This window comes from Homo sapiens, chromosome 19 (assembly GCF_000001405.40).
Source record: "Homo sapiens chromosome 19, GRCh38.p14 Primary Assembly".
Taxonomy (NCBI): Eukaryota; Metazoa; Chordata; class Mammalia; order Primates; family Hominidae; genus Homo; species Homo sapiens.
This window is the reverse complement of record NC_000019.10, coordinates 15,898,629-15,912,306: the sequence shown is the minus strand read 5'-3', so window position 1 is coordinate 15,912,306 and position 13,678 is coordinate 15,898,629. Positions and strand designations below refer to the sequence as shown.

At 40.7% G+C, this 13,678-nt stretch overlaps 3 pseudogenes; 2 read left to right on the top strand and 1 right to left on the bottom strand.

The window, feature by feature from the left end:
* LOC729654 (inositol polyphosphate multikinase pseudogene) lies at nucleotides 210–4,540 on the top strand (annotated as a pseudogene).
* Nucleotides 9,068–10,035, top strand: LOC100421620 (RNA polymerase mitochondrial pseudogene; annotated as a pseudogene).
* On the bottom strand, nucleotides 9,068–10,035 carry LOC89844 (RNA polymerase mitochondrial pseudogene; annotated as a pseudogene).

Sequence of the window (13,678 nt, the reverse complement as noted above, 5' to 3'; positions counted from 1 at the left end):
GCAACATCTTGGTTACTGTAGCTTCACGGTAAGTCTTAAAACTTGGATATTGTCAGTCCTCCAACTATGTTCTACTCCTTCAATATTGTGTTGGTTATTCTGAGTCTTTTGTCTCTCCATATAAATTGTAGAATTAGATTGCTGATATCCATAAAAAAACTTTCTGGAGGGCCCCAGGGAGCGCGGGGCGCCGCTGCTGCTGCTGCTGCTCCTCGGCTGGGTTGTGTCTACTGGGCCCGCGGCTGCGGCGGCAGAGGGGCCTGAGCCGGGAGCCGCGCTCAGCCGAGAGTTGGGCAGAGGGAGTGCCCGCGCCGCCGCGGCGTCATGGGCCCCCTCCCCTCACCTCAGCGGGCACCAGCCGCGGGAACCCCCGGGCCTCCTCGCGCCCGAGCCTGAGCGACCCCTGGGTTCTCCGGCGCCCCCTCCCTCCCCCTATTTTTCTTTTCCTGCTCTTGCTGACCCTACCGCTTCTGTTCTCCGTTATGGCAAGAGAGCCACCATCCCCGCTCCGGGTCGAGGCGCCGGGTCCCCCAGAAATGCGGACCCCACCGGCGATCGAGGCCACCCCTAAGGGCACCCTGCAGCCGGCAGGCGGCAGACTCCGCTTCCTCAGTGGCTGTGTGCCCATCTTGCATCAGGTGGCCGGGCACAGGTATGGGAAGGACAAAATGGGTATACTGCAACATCCAGATGGCACAGTTTTGAAACAGTTACAACCACCTCCAAGGGGCCCAAGAGAGCTGGAATTCTATAATATGGTTTATGCTGCTGACTGTACCGATGGTGTTCTTCTAGAGCTACGACAATATTTGCCAAAATATTATGGCATCTGGCCACCTCCCGCTGCCCCAAACGATTTATACCTAAAACTGGAAAATGTGACCCATAAATTTAATAAGCCCTGTATAATGGATGTAAAGACAGGGCAAAAAAGCTATGATCCTTTTTGCCTCATCTGAGAAAATTCAGCAATAGGTCAGCAAGGACCCATTAATGGAAGAGATTGGGTTCTTGGTGCTTGGCATGAGGGTTTATCTTGTTCATTCCCATAGCTATGAGACACAAACCAACATTATGGAAGAAGCTTAACAAAAGAAGCTATAAAGGATGGAGTCTTCGGATTTTTTCATAATGGGTACTGCTTAATAAAAGATGCTGTTGCTGCCATTATTCAGAAGACTGAGAAAATTCTGCAGTGGTTTGAAAACCAGAAGCAGCTTAACTTTTACGCAAGTTCATTACTGTTTCTTTAGGAAGGTTCATCTCAGCCAATCACTACAAAACTGAATGACAGAAATTTGGCAGAAAAGTTTTTGTCCAAAGGACAACTGTCAGACACAGAAGTACTAGAGTGCAATAATAACTTTCATGTATTAACTTCCACAGTGAATGGAAAAATAGAGGCTTCAGTAGGCAAAAGCTTGTCCAAGATGTATGCCCATCACAGGAAAATGTATACAAAAAAGTATCACAGTCAGACTTCATTGAAAGTTGAAAATCTAGAGCAAGACAATGGGTGGAAAAGCATGTCACAGGAACATTTAAATGGAAATGTACTTTCCCAACTGGAAAAAGTTGTCTACCATCTTCCCACTGGTTGCCAAGAGACTGCTGAAGTGTGCATGATAGATATGGCTGATATGTTCCTTAGCAACACAGTAGATAAGGGATATGTTTATGGGCTAAAGCATTTAATTTCTGTACTTCGAAGTATTTTAGACAATTGAATCATCTGTTGCAGTATTTTTTTTTTTTTTTTGAGACGGAGTCTCTGTTGCCCAGGCTGGAGTGCAGTGGCGCGATCTCGGCTCCCTGCAAGCTCTGCCTCCCGGGTTCAGGCCATTCTCCTGCCTCAGCCTCCCGAGTAGCTGGGACTACAGGCGCCTGCCACCGCGCCCGGCTAATTTTTTGTATTTTTCAGTAGAGACGGGGTTTCACCGTGTTACGCAGGATGGTCTCGATCTCCTGACCTCGTGATCCGCCCGCCTCGGCCTCCCAAAGTGCTGGGATTACAGGTGTGAGCCACCGCGCCCGGCCTGTTGCAGTCTTTTTAAGAGGTGGGCCAATCATAATGAAGAGGAGCAGGCAATATCTCCGCACCTTTAATGCTATGCAAAAAATATGTATTGTGAGTCGACATTTTATTTGTCTTTATACTTTTGGAAGAAAGGTTAACTTTTTTATAATCTTACTCAGGAAAATATATGTTCATTAGAAAACTATGAAGAATAAAGAAACTTAGGAATGTTAAGCAGGGAATGTAGTGGTACATGGCTTAAACATCTTTTTTGGCTCAAGCAAAATGCAAACCATTATTCAGTCATTAAGAGTTTAGTTAGCTTTCTGTAACCAATTCATGAAATCTCTGTCCACCCAATTTGACAATGAGCCATATCTAAAATAATACATTATTAGAACACCTACCAAAATCTCAAAAGCACAGGTTGATGTCCTTAGTCTTGCTATGTATGAAGTTATTAAAACTGGAGAAAGTTCTACTTCAGAAATAAGTACTGCTTAGGTTTTATATTAAAAATTCAGACCAGCATATCAAAGGATGCTTCTTAGTGAAATGATTTAGAATTGCTGCATTCCAAAAGCAGGTTTTCTCTTTAATTTTTACAACTCTCTCTCTCTCTCAAAATATTATACTTCATGAAAAAGACAATTGACATGGATGACAACAAGAGTCTTGAAATTAAGGGCACACTCATTGTTCTTACCAGGGTTAGAAGAGAGAGGTTATTTTCAAGGAACAAATATTTTGCTTTACAACCTCTCGTTTATGAGAAAATTGGAATATAAATTTATTACATTGTGAAAAGTATCATAAACCATATACCTTTTTATCTAAATGCAGTTTCAAAAAAGTAAATAATTGAAGTTTTATTTCTCCTCTAAATAACTGGAATTTTTTTCTTTAAAAATTTATATATTTATATGTCCCCATTTAGTTAAGTGGTAGTGTAAATGTATACTGTTAAAAGTGGTTTCTCAGAATTATAGTAAGCAATGAAAGACAGTATCTAATTAGGTTGTTATCAAAAATACTATGTGTGAATAAGTCCATCATATAGGGCTGGTGTGTATCTAAATTCATGCTTCTATTTCACTGTTACTCAAAACAGTTTTATATTATGTTGAACAGTGAAATTATAATTTAATTTCATGGGGACGGGCAGTGCTATAGTTCCTGGAAAAATTAGATTTGTATTATCTTTATTTCACACCTACCACCTTAGAAAAATCAACTAGTTGTCATTGAAAACATTTAAAACTTTGAGTCTTCAAATACATTTGATGTTAATGCTGTCATTACTTGCACTTTGATTCACTAATAACATTTCTAGGTAGTTACCAGTTTTGTCATTTTTCTGGAAAATATTTTGGAGTTGTAAATTGTTTCTCTTTTTCTTCTAGAGTTACAAATTGAATTTTTAAATCCAAGCACCTTTGTTGTGGTGTGGAGAGAAGTATCACAATTTTATGTTTATTTTACCTTCTCAACCTTCTCTTGGGGTACTTTGCAAATACCTGAGTCTAAACAGAAGTACCAAATACATGCTCTATGAACTCTATCCTTAGTAAATCTATTAAACCTGAATAACTTAAAAGATCATGTGTGTTTTGTAATAGCAAAATTTGATTTTAATTTTTTATTTGGAATTGGTGTATTTATCATGGGGACTTCCAGTTTTTCTTCACTTTGCAAATGGATATTGGCTATAGTTTTATGTTTTAATGGGAATGAATTTCAAGTCAATTAATAATCAGAAAATTTTTAGTTTTACTTTTTTCTTTTACAATATGGACTTTTGTTGTTATTTGGATAGTAGTTCAATAAATCTTAAGCTCAGATAATTAAACACTATTTTGAATCTTAACAAGATACTGAGCATTTTTTTGTATGGGATGATATCAGCCTATGTACAATGAATTTAATAAACTTAAGTATTATCAGATATTTTGCACATTTTAGATCAATAAAATCTGAATTAACTGTTCAAGATTTTTTTATCTGTATTTGGAAATATAATTTTGTAAAATCAATGTCTTACCTTTTTATTACAATAGATCATGTTTTGTATTCAATAAAGCAAGAAGCCCTTTTATCTGTTGTTTTTCAGGGAAGGGAGTAACATTTAATTCTGTTTGTTTACATTTGTTTTCATTGTTATCCAATGCTCATTTTATGTTGCTTTATAAGTAAGCTTAGGTATAACAGAATAAGTATCTGTTTATCTAATCTACATGTGACTACTTTAGTCTCTCTCAGTCACTTAATATTATGCTGAAATTTACCACTGTGGGGATGAATGATCACTATCCAACAAGCGTATTTGAACATGTAAATGCTTAAGAAATAAGTATAATATGGATATAGTTTGGGTTAATAGTATTCTCATAGTTTTTTCCCTCTATGAAACATAAGTAATGATTTTAGTGTATTTCTTATGGAATACACTCATTTATAAAGGACTTTAAGAAATTGTGGATGTGAATAATATCTTTCTCTAGTAAAAATTTAAATTGTAAAAAAAAAACCCAAAACCTTTCTGATATTTTCATTGTGATTTCACTGAATCTATAGATTTAGTTGGGAAGAACTGACATCCTGACAATATTGAGCTTTTTGTCTTACAAGAAATGTTCAAGGGAGTCCTGCATCTGGAAGTGAAAAGAGGATCATTACCATCATGACAACATGCAAAAGTATAAAATCCACTGGCAAAGCAGATACACATAAGAGAAAAGAATCAAACCTTATTACTACAGAAAACTACCAAAACCACAATCGTAAACAATAAGAGAGGAAGAGAGGAATAAAAGATATACAAAACAACTAGCAAACAATGAATAAAATGACAGAAGAAGGTTCTTACCTATAATAACTTTGAATGTAAACAGATTAAATCCCCCACTTAAAATATATAGACTGGCTGAATGGATTTTTTAAATGACCCAACTATGTGCTTCCCATAAGAAACTCACTTTACCTATCAAAAAACATATAGACTGAAAGTGAAGGGATGGAAAAAGACATTCTACCCAAGTGGGAACCAAAATCAAATAGGAGTAGCTATGTTTATATCAGATAAAAATAAAACAGACAAGGGATAAATTCAGCAAGAGCATATAACAATAGTAAATATATATGCACCCAAAACTGGAGCACCTAGCTACAGAAAACAATTATTATTAGATCTAAAGGGAGAGATAGACTCCCATACAATAATAGTTGCAGACTTCAATAACCCAATCTCAATACTGGACAGATCATCTAGACAGGAAGTCAACAAAGATACATTGTATTTAAATTTCACTTTAGACCAAATAGACTTAACAGACATTGACAGAATAGTTCATGCAACAGCTGCAGAATACACATTTTTTTTCATTAGCACATGGAAAAATCTCCTGGAGAGACCACACATTGGGCTACAAAGCAAGTCTCAACAAGTTTAAAAGTACTGAAATCACATCAAGTATACTTTCTGACGGCAAGGAAATAAAGCTAGAAATCAATAACAGAAATAACTTTCAAAACTGTACAAATACATCAAAATTAACAACATGCTCTTGAACAACCAATGGATTAATAAAAAATTAGGAAGTACATTTAAAATTTCTTGAATCACATGAAAGTATAAACACAATGTATCAAAAGCTATGGGATACAGCAAAAGCAGTATTAAGAAGGAATTTTATAGCAATAAACACCTACATCGAAAAAAGTAGAAATATTTCAAATAAACAATCTAATGATGCACCTCAAGGAACAAGAAAAACAAAAGCAAACCAAACTCAAAATTAGTAGGAAAAATGAACTAATGAAGATCAGAGCAAAAATAAATGAAATTGAAAGTAAAAATAAAATACAAAAGATCAATAAAACAAAGAGTTTTGTTTGTAAAAAAATAAACAAAATTAACAAATGTTTAGCTAAACAAAGTAAGAAAAAAGAAAGACTCAAATAAATGAAATCAGACATGAAAAAGGAGACATGACAATTGATACCACAGAAATACAAAGAATCATTGGAGTCTATTACAATCAACCATGAGTCAACAAATTGGAAAGCCTAGTAAAAATGTATAATTTCTCAGGCACATACAACCTATCAAGATTGAACCAAAAAGAAATAGAGAGTCTAAACAGACTAATTACAAGTAATGAAATATAACCAGTAATAAAAACTCTCTCATCAAAGAAAAGCCCAGGACCTGATGGCTTCAATGCTGAATTCTACCAAACATTAAAAAAAATACTTAATACCCATTCTTTTCAAACTGTTCCAAAAAATCAAAGAAAAGAGAGTTCTTCTTAATTCATTCTATGAAGGCAGCATTACCCTTATACCAAAACCAGAATGGGACACAAGAAGAAATGAAAACAGCAGACCAATATCGCTGATGAATAGAAGTGCAATAATTCTCAATGACATACTAGGAAATCAAATCCACCAGCACACTACAAAGATAATTTACTATGATCAATTGAGATTTATCCCAGGGATGCAAGGATGTTTTGACATATTCAAATAAAAAAAATGACATCACATCATATTTATTGAAGAGCAACAGAGTGAATAGCAAAAACCATATAATCATCTCAATAAATGCAGGAAAAGCATTTGATAAAATTCAACATTTCTTCATGATAAAAAACACTAAACAAAGTAGGTATAGAACAAGCATACATAACAAAATAAATATATAGAACAAGTATACCTAACAAAATAAAGGATAGGCATGAAAAATCCACAGCCACCATCATACAAAATGGGGAAACACTGAAAGCTTTTCCTCTAAGAACTGGAACAAAACAAGTATGCCCACCTTCACCACTTTTATTCAGCATAGTGCTGGAAGTCTTGGCCAGAGAAATCAGGCAAGAGAAAGAAATAAAGGGCAAGGATGTCAAATTTTCCCTGTTTGAAGATGACATAATATGTGCATAGAAAACCCTAAAAGCTCCACCAAAACTGTCTTAGAACTGGTAAACAAATTCAATAAAGCAGCAGGATTCAAAATCAGCATACAAAAATCACTAGTGTTCCCATACACAAATGATGAGCTAGCAGAAAAAGAAAAAGAAAGCAATGCCATTTACAATAGGTGCATATATAATATTTAGGAATAAATTTAACCAAGTAGTTGAAAGTTCTCTGCAAGAAATGCTATAAAACACTGATGAAAGAAATGGAAAAGGTCCCTCAAAAATGGAACATCTTCCCATGTTCATGGATTGGAAGAAATAATATTGCAAAAATGACTCTACTACTAAAAGCAATATAGAGATAGAATGCAATTCCTATGAGAATACCAATGAGATTCTTCATAAAAATACAAAAAAATTCTAAAATTCGTGTGGTATCACAGAAGACCCCAAATAGCCAAAGCTGTCCTGAGAAAAAAGAACTTAGATGGAGATATTACACTGCCAACTTCAAATTATACTACAATGCTATAGCCAAAACCATATAGTACTGGTATAAAAAGAGATGCATAGACCAATGGAACAGAACAGAGAACCCAGAAATAAATCCATGAATTTAGAGCCAACTAATTTTTGACAAAAGTGCAAAGACCATTCAGTTAGAAAAAAACAGTCTCTTCAATAAATGGTGCTGAAAAAACTGGATCTTCATATTTAGAAGAAGAAACTAGACCCCTCTCTTTCATCCTATTCAAAAATCAAATCAAGATAGATGTATTAGTTAGGGTTCTCTAGAGGGACAGAATTAGTAGGATAGATGTATGAATCCCACTTCTGGTACCAAAATCTGTATTAGTCAGGGTTCTCTAGAGGGACAGAACTAATAGGATAGATGTATGAACCCCACTCCTGGTGCCAAAATCTGTATTAGTCAGTGGTCTTTAGAGCAACAGACTAGTAGGATAGATGTACATATAAAGGGGGGTTTATTAAGGAATATTGACTCACACAATCTCAAGGTGAGGTCCCACAGTAGGCTGTCTGCAAGGTGAGGAGCAAGGAAACTAGTCCAAGTCTCAAAGATGAGGAATTTGGAGTTTGATGTTCAAGGGCAGAAAGCAACCAGCGAGGGAGAAAGATGTAGGCTGGGACGATAAGCCAGTCTAGTCTCTTCACGTTTTTCTGCCTGCTTTTTTTCTGGCTGCACTGGCAGCTGATTAGATTGTGCCCACCCAGATTGAGGGTGGGTCTGCCTTTCCCAGTCCACTGACTCAAATGTTAATCTCCTTTGACAACACCCTCACAGACACACCCAGGAAAAATACTTTGCATCCTTCAATCCAATCAAGTTGACACTCAATATTAACAATCACAATAGATTACAGACTTAAATGCAAGACACGACACTTTGAACCAGTAGAAGAAAACATCTGGGAGACACCTCAGGACATTGGTCTGGGCAAGGATTTTTTTTTTGGTAAGACCTCAAAAGCACAGGCAACAAAAGCAAATAGACAAACGGGGTCATACGAAACCAAAAAGCTTCTGCACAGCAAAGAAACAAATCAACAAAGTGAAGAGACAACCTACAGAATGAGAAAAAATATTTGCAAATCATCCATCTGACAAGGGATTAGTAATTAGAATACATAAGGAACTTAAACAACTGAATAGCAAAAAAAAAAACCACCTCAAAATAATCCTTTTAAAAAATAGGCAAACTATCTGAATAGACATTTCTCAAAAGAGGAGATACAAATGGCAAACACATACATTAAAAAATGGTCAACATCACTAATCATCTAGGAAATGCAAGTCAAAACCATGATAAGATGTCATCTCACCCCTGTTAACATATGTAATTATTTTTATACATTGTTGGATTTGATTTGATATTTTCTTGAGGATTTTGCATCTAGGTTTGTGAGCAATATTAATCTGTATAGTTTTTTTGTTTCTTTCTTCTTTTCTTCTTTCTCTTTTCATTTCTTGTCATGTCTTTGTCTGTATTTGCCATTAGGTATAATGCTGGCCTCATAAAATGAATTAGGCAATATTTCCTCTGCTTCTGTCTTTCAAAAGACATGGAAGAAAATTGGTATAATTCCTTCCTTAAATGTTTAGTAGATGCAACGGCCTACAGCATTATGCTGCCCTGGGCCGCGACAGCGTGGGCGCCGCCTCAGTCAACCTGGAGCCCTCGGATGTGCCGCAGGACGTGTACAGCGGCGTGGCCGCGCAGGTGGAGGTGTTCCGTAGGCAGGACGCCCAGCGGGGCATGCGGGTGGCACAGGTGCTGGAAGCCTTCATCACCCGCAAGGTGGTGAAGCAGACAGTGATGACCGTGGTGTACGGGGTCACCCGCTACGGTGGGCGCCTGCAGATTGAGAAGCGCCTCCGGGAGCTGAACGACTTTCCCCAGGAGTTCGTGTGGGAGGCCTCCCACTACCTCGTACGCCAGGTCTTCAGGAGTCTACAGGAGATGTTCTCGGGGACCCGGGCCATCCAGCACTGGCTGATCGAGAGCGCCCACCTCGTCTCCCACACGGGCTCTGTGGTGGAGTGGGTCACCCCCCTGGGCGTCCCCATCATCCAGCCGTATCGCCTGGAGTCCAAGGTCAAGCAATCAGGAGGTGGAATTCAGAGCATCACTTACACCCACAACAGAGACATCAGCCGGAAGCCCAACACACCTAAGCAGAAGAACGGCTTCCGGCCCAACTTCATCCACTCGCTGGACTCCTCACACATGATGCTCACCACCCTGCACTGCTACAGGAAGGGCCTGACCTTCGTCTCTGTGCACGACTGTTACCGGACCCATGCAGCTGATGTCTCCATCATGAACCAGGTGTGCCGGGAGCAGTTTGCTTGCACAGCGAGTCCATCCTGCAGGACCTGTCCAGGTTCCTGGTCAGGCGGTTCTGCTCTGAGCCCCAGAAGATCTTGGAGGCCAGCCAGATGAAGGAGACACTGCAGGTGGTGCCCAAGCCAGGGGCCTTCGACCTGGAGCTGGTGAAGCGTTCCACCTACTTCTTCAGCTGACACCCGGCGGGCCTTGTGCCAGTGTGTAAATAAAGCTCTTTTGCCACCCCCTCAAAAAAAAAAAAGTCTAGTAGAATTAATCAGTGAACCAATTGGGGTCTTGGCTTTCTGTTTTGGAAGGTTATTAATTATTGTTTCAATCGATTTAATAGATATAGGCCTATTCGGATTATCTATTAGCACTTACCTTTTATTCTTTTCTTTCCCCTTCTCGTATCTTTTGGATGGATGGAAGGTAAATGATGGTATATACATGTGATTCAAAATTATGTAGCTGGTAAAAATTATAACATTGATAGAGAAATATAGGACCCATATGCATTATTTAAATACCTATATAATAATCATAAAACATGTTTATGCCATAAGTGCAAGGATTGAAGGACAATATGAAAAGTGTAGTTAGGTGAATCTTACAAATTATTTAAAGAGACTGTTTAAGGTTAGTCAAGCAGAGTGACATACAGAAAAGAAGACTACTATTAAATCATTGGCAATATCCCTCTGTATTAGGCCACTCTTGTGTTGCTATAAAGAAATACCTGGCTGGGTATGGTGGCTCATGCCTGTAATCCCAGCATTTTAGGATGCCAAGGTGGGAGAATTGCTTGAGGCTTGGAGTTTAAGACCAAAAAAAAAAAAAAAAAAAAAGGAAATACCTGAGACTGGGTAATTTGTAAACAAAAGAGGTTTAACTGGATCACGGTTCTGCAGGCTGTACAGGAAGCATAGTGGCATCTGGTTCTGGGGAGGCCTCAGGGAGCTTTTACTCGTGTTAGAAGGCAAAGTGGGAGCGGGCACATCACTTGGCAAAAGCAGGAGCAAGAGAGAGAGGGTCAGGTGCTACACAGTTTTAAATAACCATATCTTGCAAGAACTCACTAACACGAAGACCACATCAAGCCATGAGGGATCCGCCCCCATGATCCAAACACCTCCCACCAGGCGCCACATCCAGCATTGGGGATTACAATTCAACATGAGATTTGGGAAGGGACACAGACAGACCCAAACCATATCAACCCCTAATGCCAGCAGAACCACTGAGTAGCTTTAGGATCTTCAGAAAGGATTTTAAAGCTCGAATAGTCCCAGCACTGTAATAATTACAAGAGAAAATGTAACTACAATGTAGCATCTACACAATAATTGTGATTCTCTTCTCCGTTCTTGTTCAATCCAATGTTTAATATAAAAATTCAAGTGAAGGTAAATAAAAGCATTGGGGAATGACCTTGCCATGTGGTATTAAGAAGAAGATTCTCAAGCACAACTGCCTAAGTTGCAATTACCACAGCTACATCTAGAAGGAAGATGTGAGAGTTTTCATTCCACATTAACTAGAAACCTAGCATGAGGCAGATGGCTGGAAGCAGTCGAGGGAGTGTCCAAGACCTTACACAGAAAATCATGTTCAGAGAGGAAGCTTGTTGCTCATTCCTTTTTTGTGCCCAGCTGCCTGGGTTCCCTTCTCCACCATTTTATTTGGTAGTAAGCTATCTAGAGAACTTGCTCCCTACGCTGAGCCAATAAGCGAAATGTGTGAGCTTTGAAGGATACAGTTTCATTTCGAGGAATGGAGAATATCTGTGCAAAGTTGGGGCAGTTCAGAGCAGAGTGAGCTGCAGACTGTTCTGCAGGTATGGGGCTGGAAGTCTTCACACGACCTCATAGTCCTGGCACCCAAACTTACTCAGACAATGGTGTGTCCGGAATTGGTGGGTTCTTGGTCTCACTGACTTCAAGAATGAAGCCGCGGACCCTCGCGGTGAGTGTTACAGCTCTTAAGGTGGCGCGTCTGGAGTTTGTTCTTTCTGATGTTCAGATGTGTTCGGAGTTTCTTCCTTCTGGTGGGTTCGTGGTCTCGCTGGCTCAGGAGTGAAGCTGCAGACTTTCGCGGTGAGTGTTACAGCTCATAAAAGCAGTGTGAACCTAAAGAGTGAGCAGCAGCAAGATTTATTGCAAAGAGTGAAAGAACAAAGCTTCCACAATGTGGAAGGGGGCCTGAGCGGGTTGCCACTGCTGGCTCGGGCAGCCTGCTTTTATTCTCTTATCTGGCCCTACCTATGTCCTGCTGATTGGTAGAGCCAAGTGGTCTGTTTTGACAGGGCGCTGATTGGTGCGTTCACAATCCTTGAGCTAGACACAAAGGTTCTCCACGTCCCCACCAGACTCAGAAGCCCAGCTGGCTTCACCCAGTGGATCCCGCACCGGGGCTGCAGGTGGAGCTGCCTGCCAGTCCCGCGCCGTGCGCTCGCACTCCTCAGCCCTTGGGTGGTCGATGGGACTGGGCGCCCTGGAGCAGGGGGCGGCGCTCATCGGGGAGGCTCGGGCTGCACAGGAACCTACGGAGGCCGGGGGCTCAGGCATGGCGGGCTGCAGGTCCTGGGCCCTGCCCCGCGGGAAGGCAGCTAAGGCCCGGCGAGAAATCGAGCGCAGCGCCGGTGGGCTGGCACTGCTGGGGGACCGAGTACACCTTCCCGAGCAGCCGCTGGCCCGGGTGCTAAGCCCCTCATTGCCCGGGGCTGGCAGGGCCGGCCGGCTGCTCCGAGTGCGGGGCCTGCCAAGCCTACGCCCACCTGGAACTCTAGCTGGCCCGCAAGTGCCGCGCGCAGCCCCGGTTCGTACTCGCGCCTCTCCCTCCATACCTCCCTGCAAGCTGAGGGAGCCGGCTCTGGCCTTGGCCAGCCTAGAAAGGGGCTCCTACACCTATAAGTGAGAATATGCGGTGTTTGGTTTTTTGTTCTTGCGATAGTTTACTGAGAATGATGATTTCCAATTTCATCCATGTCCCTACACAATGAGAACATATGGACACAGGAAGGGGAACATCACACTCTGGGGACTGTTGTGGGGTGGGGGGAGGGGGGAGGGATAGCATTGGGAGATATACCTAATGCTAGATGACGAGTTAGTGGGTGCAGCGCACCAGCATGGCACATGTATACATATGTAACTAACCTGCACATTGTGCGCATGTACCCTAAAACTTAAAGTATAATAATAATAATAAAAAAATCCAAAAAAAAAGAAAAGAAGAGAAAAGAAAGGGGCTCCCACAGTGCAGCGGTGGGCTGAAGGGCTCCTCAAGTGCCGCCAAAGTGGGAGCCCAGGCAGAGGAGGCGCCGAGAGCGAGTGAGGGCTGTGAGGACTGCCAGCATGCTGTCACCTCTCAGTGGGAGCAGGTGTGACAAGAGTTGGGCAAATCAGACCTTTAATCCACCCTGATAGGCTGGAGTGTGGGCTTATGGCATTTCTCCTTTGACCCAATTAACCTCCACTCCCAATGTATCTCTGTGCAGAAGGCTCAGCTAGGTGTATCAGCCATTGTAAATCCTCAACATAAATTATAATTTAACCTAGAATACAGAGACTAGGTAGCAGGAGGAGAGGAAATGTAGAGATACTAATCTCTTCTCCCTTATCAGAAAGAAACCTAGCATAAGAAATTTCACGCTTAATGGGCCAAAGAGTAAATCAGAAAACTCCATGGGTGATGGTATGCTCATGGTGGTGGTGGTGGTGATGGGGAATTATTTGCCCTCCTGTGACCTCCCTTGGATTAATTTCTCCCCAGGACAATGGGAAAAATCATTTAATCCTTGGAGTTTTTTTTTTTTTTTTTTTTTTTTTTTTTTTTTTTTTTGCTTGAGAGTGACTCTGATCCTGTTTCTGATGGTCATGTTCCTCAGCA